This window comes from Homo sapiens, chromosome 16 (assembly GCF_000001405.40).
Source record: "Homo sapiens chromosome 16, GRCh38.p14 Primary Assembly".
NCBI lineage: Eukaryota > Metazoa > Chordata > Mammalia > Primates > Hominidae > Homo > Homo sapiens.
In genome coordinates, this window is record NC_000016.10 from 30,598,981 (window position 1) to 30,616,423 (window position 17,443).

At 49.3% G+C, this 17,443-nt stretch overlaps 1 protein-coding gene and 1 long non-coding RNA gene across 6 annotated transcripts, besides 3 other annotated features; one reads left to right on the top strand and one right to left on the bottom strand.

Annotated features, from left to right (window-relative positions):
* Nucleotides 1–3,577: 3,577 nt before the first annotated feature.
* Nucleotides 3,578–11,795, bottom strand: ZNF689 (zinc finger protein 689). 5 transcript variants are annotated; one of them, NR_073481.2, is made up of 3 exons: nt 11,608–11,795; nt 10,545–10,658; nt 3,578–6,467 (listed from the first exon to the last, which is right to left on the bottom strand). NR_073481.2 is itself a non-coding variant. In NM_138447.3 (3 exons), exons 1-3 carry the CDS (start codon nt 11,059–11,061, stop codon nt 5,284–5,286), a joined length of 1,503 nt encoding a protein of 500 aa, NP_612456.1. In that variant the 5' UTR covers nt 11,062–11,409; the 3' UTR covers nt 3,578–5,283. The 5 variants fall into 5 exon arrangements, 1 of the variants encoding a protein (NP_612456.1); NR_073482.1 differs by lacking the exon at nt 11,608–11,795 and adding an exon at nt 11,386–11,453; NR_073480.2 differs by lacking the exon at nt 11,608–11,795 and adding an exon at nt 11,222–11,409.
* Nucleotides 11,099–11,148: a silencer, noted in NCBI's record as "silent region_7381". NCBI's record gives its function as "represses an Ori minimal core promoter by ATAC-STARR-seq in GM12878 lymphoblastoid cells {active_cell/tissue: GM12878}" and the evidence as "EXISTENCE:reporter gene assay evidence [ECO:0000049][PMID:35858748]".
* Nucleotides 11,436–12,405: an enhancer, noted in NCBI's record as "NANOG-H3K27ac-H3K4me1 hESC enhancer chr16:30621737-30622706 (GRCh37/hg19 assembly coordinates)". NCBI's record gives its function as "activates a minimal SCP1, AML or CMV promoter by ChIP-STARR-seq in naive H9 embryonic stem cells {active_cell/tissue: H9 hESC(naive)}" and the evidence as "EXISTENCE:reporter gene assay evidence [ECO:0000049][PMID:30033119]".
* LOC124903678 (uncharacterized) lies at nt 11,494–17,193 on the top strand. Its single transcript, XR_007065051.1, has 2 exons — nt 11,494–11,783; nt 16,272–17,193. It is a non-coding gene; the product is annotated as an uncharacterized LOC124903678 (long non-coding RNA).
* Nucleotides 16,639–16,879: a silencer, noted in NCBI's record as "fragment chr16:30626940-30627180 (GRCh37/hg19 assembly coordinates)". NCBI's record gives its function as "represses an EF-1alpha promoter that drives an FKBP-Casp9 reporter gene in an ReSE screen in K562 erythroleukemia cells {active_cell/tissue: K562}" and the evidence as "EXISTENCE:reporter gene assay evidence [ECO:0000049][PMID:32094911]".
* Nucleotides 17,194–17,443: the final 250 nt, after the last annotated feature.

A 17,443-nucleotide genomic window follows, 5' to 3' on the forward strand; every position in this document is an offset into this window, starting at 1 on the left:
TAATGAGTGGCAAGGGCTTTGCTTATTTATTTTTATTTATTGGTTATACTTACATTTATGGTTTATTAAAGCAAAACGACACAGATTTAAAATCATCAAAGGGATAAGGTACATGGGACAAAATCCGGATGCAACCGGGCACAAACTTTCAGGTGTCTACTCCCAGTGGGGTATCACAGGGACGTGCTTTTTTCTCCCTGCAATGATTTTTGACAACAGGTGCTGATTGTTCCCAAACAGAGAAGTTCACCCAAGCTTTAGGGTGCAGGGTTTTTTTGTTTGTTTGTTTTGGTTTTTTGTTTGTTTGTTTGTTTGTTTAGATAGTCTTACTTTTGTTGCCCAGGCTGGAGAGCAATGGTGCGATCTCAGCTTACTGCAACCTCCACCTCCCAGGTTCAAGCAATTCTCCTGCCTCAGCCTCCCAAGTAGCTGGGATTACAGGTGTGTGCCACCACCTGGCTAATTTTGTATTTTTAGTAGAGACGGGGTTTCACCACGTTGGCCAGGCTGGTCTCAAACTCCTGACCACAGGTGATCCACCCACCTCGCGCTCCCAAAGTGCTGGGATTACAGACGTGAGCCACCGCGCCCGGCCATGTGTGGGGTTTTTATTGGGGATTAGTCACATAGGCTTGGAGTGTCCATACTACTGATCTCTGCTACTCAGACCCCAGAGCAAAAAACAATGTTCACTATAAATCACACTTAGGATAAACTTATTTGTTCAGACTGGTACAGCATGATGGCATGCTGTATGCCAAGACCTCTGGCATACAAAAACACTAATCAAATAAAATATTCCACGGGCTCAGAAGTTATTTCCCAGGAGCAGACCAAATGCCAGTTCTAAAGATGAGCTTTCTTTGGAATGTGCAGGGTTTGAACAACCTACACCTCCTGAGTTAACCCATTCCTACACACACCTGATCCCATGAGTCCATTGTACCTGGTAAACTAAATTTTGTATCTCTTAGAATTAAAATTAGTTTAGGTCCAATGTCAACAAATCTCTGGAAACTCTAGTTACTTCCCCTTCTCTGATGCTCACAGTAGCAGTAGTCTACATTCACTGAACCCACTTGTTTATTCTTTGGCCCACTGCAGTATTAATAGACACTTGACTGAGCTTTCATGATGTGCCATGTACTGAGTTAAGCACTTTATATACATTCCAATCTAATGTGCTTGCTAAATGGCTGCAGGTACACTTGGAAAAGGCTAGAAGCTCTACAGCATGTTTTTGTCAGTGTAGAACTGACATCAAGTCCTTCATCAAGGGAACCCAGCCTCCCCAGATCTAGAGAAGGGGAGACTCTAGATCTGTGAATAGGCTCAAGTCTGAGAATCTGTTGAAGGCAGGGACTTGCAATTTTTGCCAACTCAACAAGATGTGAAGGCAGGACTTGCCGAGATGGATCGGAAGTCAACATGAGTGGGCACGCTGGTCAATTTGGAGTCACAGCAGGGAGACTCATGGAGGAGTGTCTGTTAACACCTACTTTATAGAGTTCTTGTGAACATTGGATTGGAATGTATATAAAGTGCCTAACACAGTACATGGAACATCATAAAAGCTCAGTCAAGTGGCTATTAATATTGCAGTAGGCCAAAGAATAAACAGAAGTGGATTCAGGCCAGGTGCAGTGGCTCACACCTGTAATCCCAGCAGTTTGGGAAGCTGAGGCAGGCAGATCACTTGAGGTCAGGAGTTTGAGAACAGCCTGGCCAACATGGTGAAACCCCGTCTCTACTAAAAATACAAAAATTAGCTGGGTGTGATAGCATACACCTGCAGTCTCAGCTACTCAGGAGGCTGAGGCACAGAATCACTTGAACCTGGGAGGAGGTGGAGGCTGCAGTGAGCAGAGATCGTGCCACTGCACTCCAGCCTGGGTGACAGAGTGAGGCTCCAGCTCAAAAAAAGAAAGAAAAGAAAAAAGTGGATTCAGTGAATGTAGGCTACTGCTTCAAGGCATTTAGCTGAAAATAATAGGGATCAAGAGAAAAGTTCTTTTTTATTGTTTTAAAGGCAGATCTTAGCATGCTTATAGGCTGGAGTGTCTTTGGGACAAGAAAGGGAATCTGAAACCATAAAACTAGGAGACGAGAAAGTAGGAATAATAGAGCAAAGTCCCTGAGGGGCAGAAGGGGATGAAACCCAGGCCCAGCTGTGTTGCTGAACATTGTATATCCAGGACTTGCTGAGATGGATCAGAAGTAAATATGAGTGGGCACACTGGTCAATTTGGAGTAATGGCAGGGAGCAGAATGTTAAAGAAGCTCCTATTTGACCCCTTGTATTTTCCTAGTGAAAGCGGAGGTATTTACTGGTTAAAAATATATGGAATGGGCAGGGAGCAGTGGCTCACACCTGAATTCCCAGCACTTTGGGAGGCTGAGGCAGGTGGATCATGAAGTCAGGAGATCGAGACCATCCTGGCTAACATGGTGAAATCCTGTCTCAACTAAAAATACCAAAGATCAGCCGGGTGTGGTGGCAGGCACCTGTAGTCCCAGCTACCAGGGAGGCTGAGGCAGGAGAATCACTTGAACCCAGGAGGAGGAGGTTGCAGTGAGCTGAGATCACGCCACTGCATTCCAGCCTGGGCGACAAAGCAAGACTCCATCTCAAAAAAAAAAAAAAAATATATATATATATATGGAATGCTTCTCTGGGCACACTGCCTATAGGGTGGTCCTGCTCTGGACTACCAGAGTATTTATGTACTTATTTATTTATATTTATATTTATACATTTGTATATAAACTATTAGTTTATATCTAACTTTAATTCTATATATATATATATATATGGAAGACATAATATTGTCTTATTACTGTTGTTGCTTTTTAAGTCTTGCTATATTGCCCGGGCTGGTCTCAAACTCCCAGGTCAAACAATCCTCCCGCCTTGGCCTCTCAAAGTGCTGAGATTACAGGCATGAGCCACTGCACCCAGCCCAGAAGACATAATATTGAAGGTTCTACTGAGGTTGAAGGTCAGGAAAGGTATCGTGGCCCCTCTCAGCAGCAATGCAGTGTTTTTCCTCACAGCTCATATCTAGGCATGGAGGCAGATGGGAGATTAACCCAGACTGAGGCTGTGTATTAGTTCATTCTTTTGATTGCAAATAACAGAAACTCAAACCACCTTAAGCGGAAAGGGGAAGTTATTGGAAGGATGCTAGGATCTCTCACTGAATAAGGAACCAGGATCCCAGCTCGGGTGGATTGAAGTGCTTCAGGGAACATAGGAGGTTATCTCCCATTTCTGCTCTCCACAGACCACATAATGGAATTTAGCCATCAGTGGCTACCAAGTTTTATGAATTACAATCCAGTCCCAAAGAAAGTTATACAATTCCTAGCTGAGGAAATCCTTGCGTTCTGGTGGCAAAGGGAAGGGGAAAGAGCCAGCTCTACCAGGGGGCTGGGCAGACCTGGTAATAGGGCTCTGCTGGGCAGGACAGGTCTCCTGGTCTGAAAGTCTGGCTCTCCCATCAGAATAGCAAAGATTGCTACAGAGTCAAGGAACCAGATTGATATTTTGTAAAAAGTAATTCCACAAGGAACAGAATTCATTCATCAGACATTTTAATGAGACCCAATCTGATATGACCCCTTCTTGGGGGTAGCTCATCATCCAAGGAGAAACAAACAGTTACAATGTTACAATGCAACTTGCTAAATATTGAACAGAGGTAATTACATAAAGCTGTGTTCCCCCAGCTGCTCCCCTGCTTGTGCTGAGATCAGGAGAGCTGTAGGAAGGAGCCACAGGGGTAAAGGATGACCCACTCCAGCTGTTGGAATATGAGATGAGTCACATCTGGAAATTCTAATTTGGTGCAGCTGCCCAAGGCAAAGTGGTAGGCCTTGTTCACATTTAACTCGGTAAAGCTTTATGAAGCACCTACCCAGTGGGTGCCATGGAGGTGGATCAGATTGAGCCACGCTGCTGCCACCTCTGTGGAGGGAGGCTGGCATGGATACAACTTGATGACTATAGACTCTTCCTCTCTGGATTCAGTTCCCTCTTTCTAGCCTCCTTGAATGGCCTCAGCTCATTTTGTGAAAAAATGCTGACTGAGGCCTCATGGAAGTTCTGTGCCGATTCTTAGGTGCCTGTGATTCATCTGTGCCTGATGAGAATCAGGGTCAAGTACGGCCCAATTCTCCAGGCTTTTCCAGGCACTGGCTGCCTGAAGCCAATCCAGGTCTGCCAGGTAGAGCACAAGCCAGTCCCATTTGCACTTCCTGCTGCTAAACCACAGGTCCCTGCTTCTCCTTAAGAGCAACCTTCTCCCAGAGCTGACTACACTTATGTCTCATACCCAGCTTGAACCAATTTTCCAAATACAAGATGAAGACTTAGTTTTATAGCTTTTTTTTTTTTTTTTAAGTTTAGGGCATTTATATATCTGCAACCCAATAAACCCCTGGTACCATGCAGCTCCCCCAAATTCAGTGCAACCAAAGCTGCTGAAACAAGTCCAGCCCCAGAAGGTGTAGTGGCACTGTGGTGTTACCTTATTTTTATATGACCCTTCAAAAAGGACACTGAAAACCCAGTGCCTGTTTGCAGAGATCATGTGTGGAAATTGAAACCCTGTCTTTAAGGAATGACCAAATTCATGCTACTTAACCTGAAAACTTGGGGGCAAAGTGGTTGTGATTATCTGAAGGGCTGCTATGTAGATGAAGTATTAAACATGTCGTAGGCAAGGTTTAGAGGAGAATGTGGTACTTAACCTTCTATAGATCCCACAATGAAATGACCTGCCTTGTGAGGTAGTGAGCTCCCTGTCAAGAGAGATTTTCAAGCAATGGGTAGAAGACCACTTGGCAGGAGTGTTGCAAAAAGTGGGCTAAACCAGATTTTTCCAACCTAGTATGGAGGAAGAGGCAGAGTAGGGGAAGGTCCTGCCCCTATGAGATTCTCCTGATTGCATGCAAGATGACAGGTAATCCCTGTGTGGACAGACTAGAAAAGCAGACAGCCCCTAAAATAGATGGGGAGAACTTTTAGCCCTGATATCCACACAAACTATTTTAGGATAGGGTAGCTTGGAAAACTTTAAGCAAATGACGTCACCTCTCCTAATGGGACTGTTCCAGACACGCACAGGGAGGCAGCCAGCGCATTGCAAGATACAAAGTTCAGCTCTGTGCAGCAGGAGACCCGGGTTTAGTTCTGACTCTGCCCTGTATGACCTGGGGCTCCTCCTTCCCTTTTCTGGGACCCTCCATAAAATGAAATGAACGTAGGCAGTCCTTCCCCTTCTAATGGGCGTTGCCCCTCTGACTGGAGCCCCCGATAGCAGATCTAGGGCTACAGTTTGGGGCCTTGGGGCTACACTTGTGGACAGCCAGAGACCACCTCTGGCGGAAGCACCGGCCACACTCGAGGCAGGGGAAAGGCTTCTCCCCCGTGTGCAGCAGCTGGTGCTGGGCCAGGTGGCTCCACTGAGCAAAACGCTTGGAGCAAAGGTCGCAGGCATAGGGCCGCTCGCCCGAGTGCACGCGCCGGTGGCTGGCCAGCAGTGAGGGGTAGGCAAAGCGGCGACCACAGTCGTCGCAGGCGTGCAGCTTCTCCTCTGTGTGCGTGCTGCGATGGATGGCCAGGGAGCCGCTCCGCCGGAAGGCACGCCCACAGTCTGGGCAGGGGTAGGGCTTCTCTCCGGTGTGCAAGAGCTGGTGCTGGAGCAGCGTGCTGCGCTGGGAGAAGCGGGCCTCACAGTGCTCGCAGGCATAGGGACGCTCCCCAGAGTGCACACGCCGGTGACTGACCAGGCGAGAGGAGGAGGAGAAGCGCCGCTCGCAGTCCGGGCACGGGTAGGGCTTCTCGCCCGTGTGGATGCGCTGGTGGATGACGAGGGCCGTGCGCTGGCGGAAGCGGCGGTTGCACTCGAGGCAAGTGTAGGGCTTCTCTCCCGTGTGTGTACGCTGGTGGATGGCTAGCAGGGAGGGGTAGGCGAAGCGACGTCCACAGCTAGGGCACTGGTGGGGTTTTTCACCTGTGTGTGTGGTCCGGTGATTGGCCAAGGACCGGCTCCTCCGGAAGCAGCGACCACAGTCAGGGCAGTGATAGGGCTTCTCCCCTGTATGGATGACCTGGTGCTGGGAGAGGTTCTTGCGCTGGGAGAAACGTTTGCCACACTGGTCACAAACATAGGGGCACTCGCCGGAGTGTGCCCGCCGGTGACTGACCAGCAGGGATGGATAGGAAAAGCGGCGCCCACAGTCTGGGCAAGGGTAAGGCTTTTTTAGATTCTGGGCGCACTTGTGGCTCTCCAGGGCCTGATGATCAGGGAAGGTACAGCCGCAGTCAGGGCAGATGGGGCCCCCGGACGTCTGCCTAGGAATCAGTCGGGGTTTGCTGGGCCTCCGGCCTCGCTTCCCCTTTCGGGGTGCCTCCTTAGGCGGGAATACTTCCTTCTCCCCATTCTTCTTTCTGGTTCTGCTTTCTATAGAAATACAGAAGCATTAATTTAACAAATACTGGGCTCCTGCTCTTGTCAATTACATTATAGGTTACAAGACCAATAGACTCACCCCCTGGTCTCAATTCCTAGTGCCACAGACAGCTAAGTGTGACATACTGTCATGCAAATACGGTGTGCATTACAGGAGCTTCTAACCCAGCTTGGAGAAGTCTAGGAAGATTTCTCGGAGATTAAACTAACTTTAAAAATTGAGGCCGGGCACAGTGGATCACGCTTGTAATCGTAAGCACTGGGAGGCCGAGGCGGGCAGATCACAAGGTCAGGAGTTTGAGAGCAGCCTGACCAACATGGTGAAACCCTGTTTCTACTAAAAATACAAAAATTAGCCGGGCGTGGTGGCACGCACCTGTAATCCCAGCTACCCAGAAGGCTGAGGCAGGAGAATCGCCCGGGAGGCAGAGGTTGCAGTGAGCCGAGATTGTGCCACTGCACTCCAACCTGGGCGAGAGAGCGAGATTCCATCTCAAAAAAAAAAAAAAAAGGAATATTTTTGAAGAGGTAAGCTTACATCATTCAAAAGTCAAAATATCAGCCAGGCATGGTTGCTCATGCCTGTAATCCCAGCACTTTGGGAGCCCAAGGCAAGAGATCGCTTGAACCCAGGAGTTCAAGATCAGCCTGGGCAGCATAGTGAGACCCCATCTCTACAAAAAATACAAATATTAGCCTGGCCTGGTGGCACGCGTGCCTGCCTGTAGTCCTAGCTACTTGGAAGGCTGAGGTAGAGGATTACTTGAGCCCAGGAGTTCAAGGCTACTGTGAACCATGATGGCACCACTGTACTCCAGCCTGGGCAACACAGCAAGACCCTATCTCAAAAAACAAACAAGTCAAAATATTAATAAAGGAATACAGAGAAGTCTTGCTGCCACCTTTTTCCAATCTACCTTGTAGAAACCATATTAGTTTTTTCCCATTTTTTTGATGCAATACAAATGTCACCTTCCCTATCTTTCTTTCATAAGAGATTGCATACACATGCTTTACAGCGTATGTTCTCTTCCCCACCTTTCTTTTTTTTTTTCTTTTTTGAGACAGAGTCACGCTCTGTCACCCAGGCTGGAGTGCAATGGTGTGATCTCAGTTCACTGAAATCTCCGCCTCCCGGGTTCAAGTGATTCTCCCTGCCTCAGCCTCCTAAGTAGCTGGGATTACAGGCATGCACCACTATGCCCAGCTAATTTTTTGTATTTTTAGTAGAGTCAGGGTTTCACCATGTTGGCCAGGTTGGTCTCGAACTCCTGACCTCAGGTTATCTGCTCACCTCTATCTCCCAAAGTGACTACAGGCGTGAGCCACCATGCCCAGCTCACCTTTCTTATACAAAAGACAACATATACACACCTTATACACACTTTACATTTTTTCACTTAATATATTCTAAAGATCATTTTATGTCAGCAAATCTTTTTTCTATTTTACAGCTACACAGAATTCCATTGTGGATGGTTTATTTGACTTAGCTGATTCTTTAAAAAATGTGGCTGGGCGTGGTGGCTCATGTCTGTAATCCTAGCACTTTAGGAGGCTGAGGCAGGCGGATCACCTGAGGTCAGGAGTTCAAGACCAGCCTGGCCAACATGGTGAAACCCCGTCTCTACAAAAATATAAAAATTAGCTGGGCACAATAGCAGGTGCCTATAATCCCAGCTACCCAGAGGCTGAGGTGGGAGAATCACTTGATCCTGGGAGGCGGAGGTTGCAGTGAGCCAAGATCACGCCATTGCACTCCAGCCTGCATGACAGAGTGAGACTCCATCTCAAAAAAAAAAAAAAAAAAAAAAAAAAGAATTAAAATTATGCAGTGTTAGAAACGTAAGTCCCAGCCAAGCGCAGTGGCTCATTCCTATAATCCCAGCACTTTGGGAGGCCAAGGTGGGCGGACTGTGAGGTCAGGAGTTCGAGACCAGCCTGGCCAACATGGTGAAACCCCGTCTCTACTAAAAATACAAAAATTAGCCGTGCATGCTGGCGGGCGCCTGTAATCCCAGCTACTTGGGAAACTGAGTCAAGATGATTACTTGAAACCGGAAGGCAAAGGTTGCAGTGAGCCAAGATTGCACTACTACACTCCAGCCTGGGTGGAAGAGCAAAACTCCGTCTCAAAAAAAAAAAAGAAAAGAAACATAAGTCCCAAGGCTCAGTGTACAGTGTGCACAGGCCCTAAGATCTTCTTAGACACAAAGTGTAAAAGCAAGACAGGCTGGGCGCGGTGGCTTACACCTGCAATCCCAGCACTTTGGAAGGCCAAGGCAGGCGGATCACCTGAGGTCAGGAGTTCGAGACCAGCTTGACCAATATGGAGAAACCCTGTCTCTACTAAAAATTAGCCGGGTGTGATCGTGGGCACCTGTAGTCCCACCTACTCCAGAGGCTGAGACAGGAGAATTGCTTGAAACCGGGAGCAAGAGGTTACAGTGAGCTGAGATCGTGCCACTGCACTCCTGCCTGGGCAACAGAGCAAGACTCCGTCTCACACACACACAAAAGAGTGTAAGGCAAGATATGGAAACCTATGAGGTATGAGCTAGCAGTGACTGGGTCAAAAGGCCCTCTAAGCCAATGGTTCTCAAACTCCACTGTGATCAGAATCATTGGGAGGATTTACTGAAACAGAATGCCAGGCCCTAGTGCCCGCTTTGGATTCAGCAGGTCTGGGGTAGGGTCCAAGAATGTGCATTTCTAACAAGTTTCCAAATAATGCTGCTTCTGGTCTGAGACCACGCTTTGAGAACCACTGCTGTTAGCATTGTTAAAGACCTTGGACTGTATTTTACCCAATGGTTTTCTTTTCTTTTTTTTTTTCCCCCAAGATGGAGTCTCACTGTGGCACCCAGGCTGGAGTACACTGGCATGATCTCGGCTCACTGTAACTTCCACCTCCCAGGATCAAGCAATTCTCCCTGCCTCAGCCTCCTGAGTAGCTGGAATTACAGGCGCCCACCATAGTGCCCGGCTAATTTTTGTATTTTTTTAGTAGAGACGGGGTTTCACGATGTTGGTCAGGCTGGTCTTGAACTCCGGACCTCAAGTGATCTACCCACCTCGGCCTCCCAAAGTGCTGGGATTACAGGCATGAGCCACCAGCCGGCCGGTTTTCAAACCTAGATGCACATCTGAATCAGCTGAGGCTATTTAAAAAATGGAAGTTCCTAAACATTCACACGAGTGAATGAATAGCTCTGGGATGGGGTCCTGGAACCTGCGTTTTTACCAAGTTCCCCAAGTGATTTAGATATAACCAATGGCCATTTAACAACCTTGGCAAAAATTAACTGAAAAGTTTTAAGCAAGGAAATATCATGGTCAGATCTGAATCTTGGACAGCTATCCCTGGTCTTGAAGAATCTGGCTCTGAAATTCCAGCCCAGACAGCTCCATCTTCTACTATGGGTGGATCTGGGACCCTTCTACCTGAATGGGGTTAAGCAGAGCCTTGTTGGATTCTGAGGAGATTGCAGTATGTCCTTCGCTGATAAGGGTCATCCTGCCGTAAGAGCAGAAAGAGGCCCCTGCATCCCAGGCAGCTGTTCCCCATGAGCTCCCTTCAACCAAAACCCAGAAAACTCTGAGAAGTTTAGGATCTCTTTGGTCCAACTCAAAGGTGGCTAGAGGCAGAGATCCTGGAAAGGAGGCAGAGGGTAGCACCTGTTAAAAGCTCACTGATTCTGGCTGGCTGCAATGGCTCACGCCAGTAACCCCTGCATTTTGGGAGGCCAAGGCAGGAGGATCGCTTGAGGCCAGAAGTTCAAGACCGAACTGAGCAAGACAATGTTTCTACAAAAAAAAAAAAAAAAAAAAAAGACGAAGAATAAGCCCACTGATTCATTCACACAGTGGAAAACTGCAGCTTGCAGACTGACATAGGAATCTCTGTGTGGTGGACCGGCCCCACACCACCAGACACAAGAGGCTGGGAAGATGAATATACTAAATACGCGGCACCCACCCCTAGCCCAACCAAAACTCTGGACAGAGCCGTTAGAGGTAGAACGTTATAGGAGGGCTGCAGGCTCTGCGTGGTTATTTAGCACTCACTTCTCTGGACTGTTAGCCCTCTCGGGTACTCCTGCGGATCTAGAGCAGCCGGTTCCCAGTCATCGGTGTTTCGTTCCAACCAGGAGATGAGGGCTGGTTTGGGACCTGCGCACCCTGGGGAAAGAGAACAAATCAGAAGGCCAGCTCCTAGATCACGCCGAGTAGTATCTCCCCGACGGCACCTCCTGCTAAGCCCCTGCCCACCTCCCCTGACAACCTGGTCGCCTGCCAGGACCGTGGCCTCCCTGCCTACACCCTCTCCGGCTCCTGCATCCCTTCGCGCCCCGCGGCAGCGGATGGGGCCGGCCTCACCGAGCGCGCCCAGGTGACCGTAGGTCTCCCGCATCACGTCCCGGTACAGGGCCCTCTGCGCGGGCCGCAGGCAGCCCCACTCCTCCGGGGAGAAGTACACGGCCACGTCCACGAACTTCAGAGCCCTCGGCCTCCTGCCCCTTTTCCGACTGGGTCTGGCCTTTCCTGGTCCCTGCGCAGGGAGCGGAGCCGAAGGTGGCGCCATGGGACCCGAGAAGCCGGCGCCACGGCCTTCCGTGTCCAGGCCTCGGCCCTCGGGCGCTGGCGGCCCCTGGGATCGAGGAGCCCCTGCCGGACCAGGGCTGAGCGTGGCCGGGGAGGCCCGGAGGGAATCGGAATTGGTCGCCCGCGGGGCTAACGGAAACCTTTTGCTGTTATTCAGGAAACTCCTGCCCGAACTTGGGTGAAAGGCACCGGAAGATGCCTTCGGGGAAAATGGCGGCGCTGCTACCGCACCGCCTTTGCCTGGAACACAGGCAGCTTCCAGCTATCGATTTTATTGACCGGAGCGCCATGCCGGCTTCCTAACCTCTTTGCCCTCAAGTGTAATGGCGCTGCGATTGGGCTTCACGCCGTCTTTTTTCCCCTCCCCAATACGCGCGTTCATTGGACGAGAGCCGAAGATCGAGCGTTCTGATTGGGTGCTAGCAAAGGCGGTCCGTTTGAACGAAGCCAAGAGCTGCATAAGGGCAGGAAGCTGGACTGCTAGGATCAGGCGACTACAAGGAGTTGTGAAGCGACTTGCACCGACCTGGGGGCAGCAAGAGGCCCCGGGGCTGCTTTCCGCTGTTCGACTCTGGCAGGCTCAGCCAATCACTGAAGGAGGGAACGATTTGAGCGATGGAGCCACTCTGGCCGAGTTAGAGCTGAGATTATCCTGAGTTCCTTTTACTGGTGTTCTCAGAGCATCCTTGACTTTGGAGAATGGTTATCTTCTTTGTTTGCCCTTTAGGGGAGGGAATTATGGTTAGCATTTCCTGGGGGCAGGCGCCATGCCCAGCATATTACATATTTCATCTTTATTATTTTTTATTTTTATTTTATTTATTTATTTTTGAGACAGAGTCGTGCTCTGTCGCCCAGGCTGGAGTGCAGTGGCGAAATCTCGGCTCACTGCAGCTTCCACCTCCCACGTTCAAGCGATTCTCCTGCCTCAGCCTCCCGAGTAAGTGAGATTACAGGCGCGTGCCACCACTCCTGACTAATATTCATATTTATTAGCAGAGATGGGGTTTCACCATGTTAGCCAGGCTGGTCTCGAACTTCTGACCTCAAGTGATTCACCCACCTCGGCCCCACGAAGTGCTAGGATTACAGGCGTGAGCCACTATGCCCGGCCTTATTTTTATTTTTTTGAGACAGGGTCTCACTCTGTTACCCGGGCGGGATGGAATGCAGTAGTGCAATCTCAGCTCACTGCAGCCTCTAACTCCTGGGCTCAAGCAATCGTCCTGCCTCAGCCTTCAGAGTAACTGGGACTACTGGTGTGCACTACCACGCCTGGCTAATTTTTTATGTTATTTGTTGAGTCAGGGTTTCCCTGTGTTGCCCAGGCTGGTCTCGAACCCTTAGGCTAAGTGATCCTCCTGCCTCGTCCTCCCAAAGGGCTGGGATTACTGGCATAAGCCACAGCACCGGAGCCATTAGTTATTCGCTTTTTTTTTTTGAGACTGGGTCTCATTCCGTTGCCCAGGCTGGAGTGAAGGCATGCACCCACAGTGCTCTGCTAATTTTTTGTATTTTTGGTAGAGACGGTGTTTCGCCATGTTTCCCAGGCTGGTCTCGAACTCCTGAGCTCAAGCAATCCGCCCACCTCGGTCTCCCAAAGTGCTGGGATTACAGGAGTGAGCCACCACACCCAGCCCGTTATTAATTCTTTACTAGCATTTTGTGAACCAATGGTTATCATCCTGGTTCTACTAATGAAGAAACGATCTCAGAGGGATTCCATGAGTTTCCAGGGCCATACTGCTAGTAAGGAGTGGGGAATAAAGATTTAAACCTGGGGCAGACAGAGCCTTTATTCATACCACTGATAGGCATCCTTCCTTCACAGTATCCTAATTTGCTTGCTAAACCAGGAATCCACCTGAGCTCTTGTTTTCTTCTCAAGTTCAATATTCTGCATAATCTCCCTACATTATTTTCACGTGACATTTGTTCAACGTACAAAGCATAGTGCTAGGCAATTGGGAGAGCGTACATAAATAAGTCATAGGCCATGCTTTGAATGGAGCTTACAGTCTAGTAAAGCATATAAATTCACAATGAATCATAACAGAATGATACAAGCATGTATGTGAAAGGCACTGAACTGAAAATTGCTGATGGAACAAGCCAGCACCCACCCCATTAGCCTCCACATTTTTTTTTTTTTTTTTTTTTTGAGACGGAGTCTCGCTCTGTCACCCAGGCTGGAGGGCAGTGGCGCCATCTCGGCTCACTGCAAGCTCCGCCTCCCGGGCTCACGCCATTCTCCTGCCTCAGCCTCCCGGGTAGCTGGGACTACAGGCGCCCGCCACCACGCCCAGCTAATTTTTTGTATTTTTAGTAGAGACGGGGTTTCACCATGTTAGCCAGGATGGTCTTGATCTCCTGACCTCGTGATCCACCCGTCTCAGCCTCCCAAAGTGCTGGGATTACAGGCGTGAGCCACTGTGCCCAGCCCTTTTTTTTTTTTTTTTTAGACGGAGTCTTGCTCTGTTGCCCAGGCTAGAGTGCAGTGGTGCAAACTCGGCTCACTGCAACCTTGGCCTCCCGGGTTCAAGTGATTCTCCTGCCTCAGCCTCCCGAGTAGCTGAGATTACAGGCACCCGCCACTTTGCTCGGCTAATTTTTGTATTTTTAGTAGAGACGGGATTTCACCATCTTGGCCAGGCTGGTCTCGAACTCCTGACCTCATGATCCAACCACCTCTGCCTCCCAAAGTGCTGGGATTACAGGCATGAGCCACCACGCCCGCCCTAGCCCCTACTTCTATGTATGTGTTATACTGCAGAGTTTCACCAGCTCAATGCCACCCCCAAGGGTCCTGCGAGCAGGAGAATACACCATTTGCCATGTCTCTTAGCTAGTGACATGCACATCTATCTCTCTAACCCTTTAATCAATATTGTAAAGCATATACTATGGGCAAAACACTAACCTCAAAGCTTTCAAGGAATAAAGACAAACAATGTGGCAGGAAAAGTCACAAAATTAGAAGGCAATGAGGCCGGGAGCAGTGGCTCACACCTGTAATCCCAGCAGTTTGGGAGGCCGAGGTGGGTGGATCACGTGAGGCCAGGAGTTCAAGACCAGCCTGGCCAACATGGCAAAACCCTGTCTCTACTAAAAATACAAAAATTAGCCGGGCTTGGTGGCACATGCCTATAGTCCCTGCTACTTGGGAGGCTGAGGCATGAGAATTGTTTTCTGTTTTGTTTTGTTTTGTTTTGTTTTGAGACGGAGTTTTGCTCTTGTTCCCCAGGCTGAGTGCAATGGAGCAATCTCGGCTCACCACAACCTCCGCCTCCCGGATTCAAACGATTCTCCTGCCTCAGCCTCCCGAGTAGCTGGGATTACAGGCATGCGCCACTACACCCAGCTAATTTTGTATTTTTAGTAGAGATGGGGTTTCTTCATGTTGGTCAGGCTGGTCTTGAACTCCTGACCTCAGCTGATCTGTCCGCCTCGACCTCCCAAAGTGCTGGGATTACAGACATGAGCCACCAGGCCCAGCCGAAGAGAATTGTTTGAAACTGGAAGGCGGAGGTTGCAGTGATCCAAGATGGTGCCACTGCACTCCAGCCTGGGTGACAGAGTAAGACTAAGTCTCAAAAAAAAAAAAAAAAAAAAAGGCTGGGCTTGGTGGCTCACGCCTGTAATCCCAGCACTTTGGGAGGCCGAGGCGGGCAGATCACTAGGTCAGGAGATCAAGACCATCCTGGCTAACACGGTGAAACCCCGTCTCTACTAAAAATATAAAAAATTAGCCAGGCATGGTGGTGGGCTTCTGTAGTCCCAGCTACTCAGGAGGCTGAGGCAGGAGAATGGCGTGAACCCGGGAGGCGGAGCTTTCGACCGAGCGAGACTCGTCTCAAAAAAAAAAAAAAAAAAGAGGAAGGAGAAGAAAGAAGAAGGAGGAGGAGGATGAGGAGGCAGCAGTGAGATATTCAGAGGAAGGAGATGTTTGAACAGAGGTGGTGGAAAAAAAACTACAGTTACAGGCTAGGTGTGGTGGCTCACACCTATAATCCCAGCACTTTGGGAGGCCGAGGTGGGGGGATTGCTTGAGCCCAGGAGTTCAAGACCAGCCTGGCCACCATGGCAAAACCCTTTCTCTACAAAAAATACAAAAATTAACTAGGCATGGTGTCGGGCACTTATAGTCCCAGCTACTTGGGAAGCTGAGGTGGGGGGATCGATTGAGACTTGGGAGGTCAAGGCTACAGTAGCCAAGATTGCACCACTGCACTCCAGCCTGGGCGAAAGAATGAGATCCTGTCTCAAAAAACAAAAACAACAACAACAACAAAAAAAAAAGGCGGGAGCTCTAGCCTCCTAATTGTGGCTGGGCGTGTGGGCATGGTGGCTCATGCCTGTAGTCCCAGCCCTTTGGGAGGCTAAGGCGAGAGGATGACTTGAGCCCAAGAGTTCAAGGCTGCAGTTAACTATGATTATTACACCACTGCGCTCCAGCGTGGTCAACAGATTGAGACTCTGTGTTTAAATGAATAGAACAAAAACAAACAAACAAACAAAAAACCTGGGCTGCATGAATCTGTTAAGAAAAGTCAGGTCAGCTGGGCGTGGTGGCTCACACCTGTAATCCATCCCAGCACTTCAGGAGGCTGAGGCGGGTGGATTGCCTGAGGTCAGGAGTTCAAGACCAGCCTGACCCACATGGTGAAACCCTGTCTCTACTAAATACAAAAAATTAGCCGAGAGTGGTGGTGCATGCCTGTAATCCCAGCTACTTAGGAGGCTGAGGCAGGAGAATCGCTTGAACCGGGGAGGCTGAGGTTGCAGTGAGCCCAGATTGCACCATTGCACTCCAGCCTGGGCAACAAGAGTGAAACTCCATCTCAAAAAAGAAAAGAAAAGTCAGGCCAGGCACGATGGTTCGTGCCTATAATCCCAGCACTTTGGGAGGCTGAGGAGGGCAAATCACCTGAGGTCAGGAGTTCAAGACCAGCCTGACCAACATGGTGAAACTCCCTCTCTACTAAATACAAAAAAATTAGGCGGGTGTGGTGGCACATGCCTGTAATCCCAGCTACTTGGGAGGCTGAGGCAGGAGAATCGCTTGGACATGGGAGGCAGAGGTTGCAGTGAGCTGAGATCACATCACTGCACTCCAGCCTAGGGGACAAAGTGAGACTCCATCTAAAAAGGGAAAAGCCAAGCTTTTATTTCTTTTTTTCTTTTTTTTAGCAGGAGAAGCAGATGCCACACTCAGAGCAGGACTGAGGCTTCTCACCTGTATGCGTGTGCCTATGAATGGCCAAGGGAGCCTCTTTGGTGCACGCACCACACACAGTCAAAGCACCAGTAGGGCTTCTCTCCTGCATGGATAAGCTGGTGCTGGAGCAAGTTTCCCAGTCAGCAAGGGGAGTGCCACACTGTAGGCAGTGGTGGCAGTGCTCACCCAAGTGCATGTGCCTGGTGGTGGCCACAAGGGAGGGGAATGCAAACTGGCACCCACATCTGTGCACACATCCGCATATGTGCGTGGACAGCGCCCTCCTCAGGTGGAAGAGGTGGCTGCAGTCGGAGCCCTTGCAGAGCTCGTCCCCTGTGTGGGGGCAGCTGGTGCTGGACCAGGTGAGCTCTCTGGGAGAATTAGACACTGCATGACCCACAAATGTGGCTGTCGGTTCGGGACTGAACAAAGGAGGACGAACGCAGAAATGGAGACAAAGAAAAGGATCTGTTTTAAAGAAAGTGTCGGGGGCTCCTTGCTTCTAGGGAATAAGGGCCCTGAGCTTCTACAGCCCTTCATATTTATTAGGTAGAATCAACAGGGACTAAGAGGTAGTAGTTGGTCAGCTGCTTGATTTAGCACAGGCTCACATAATTGCTTTCTTTATACAACAGGCTCCAGATGTTCCTATAGATAACTACAAGGAACAACTGCACCTGGTGTGTGACTGTCCTCAGCATTCCTTCTGGTGGCAGACGCAGTTGTCAGCTTGCCAACATCCTGCATTCATGAGAACAGTTTGCTGTTTGCTCATATAGCCTCCAGTGGTATACTGAGTTGGTCACGACCCTCATTCTTTTGGCCTCCAACATCTCCCCCTTTCTGTTTTTGCATTAGTTGAATAAAGGTAATTGCAGGCTGTGCAGCTCTCAATTGCCAGCTGGTGGTCCAGCTGATTTTACAGACTGTGAACAAAAAGCAGAAACATAATAACATTTTTCCAATAATTACACAAAAGACACTGAGGTGCTGTTTGAAGTAGGTCCAAGGGTTAAGGCTCTCTAAAAGTTGCTGGAATTCTGCCCAATATTTTAAAGAGGGCTGAAATGCTTGAGTTTGCTTATTCAAGTTAAGGATTTTACTTTGTAAATCATTAATATCAAAAATAACACTGGATGTAAAA

What these genes read in the sequence shown, in the direction of transcription:
- ZNF689 (NM_138447.3), bottom strand. Translation starts at nt 11,061, where the DNA reads ATGGCGCCACCTTCGGCTCCGCTCCCTGCGCAGGGACCAGGAAAGGCC. An exon ending in CGGTCACCTGGGCGCGCTCG is followed by an intron (nt 10,659 to 10,856) that starts GTGAGGCCGGCC and finishes CTCTTTCCCCAG; the next exon opens with GGTGCGCAGGTCCCAAACCA. An exon ending in AGGGCTAACAGTCCAGAGAA is followed by an intron (nt 6,468 to 10,544) that starts GTGAGTGCTAAA and finishes GTATTTCTATAG; the next exon opens with AAAGCAGAACCAGAAAGAAG.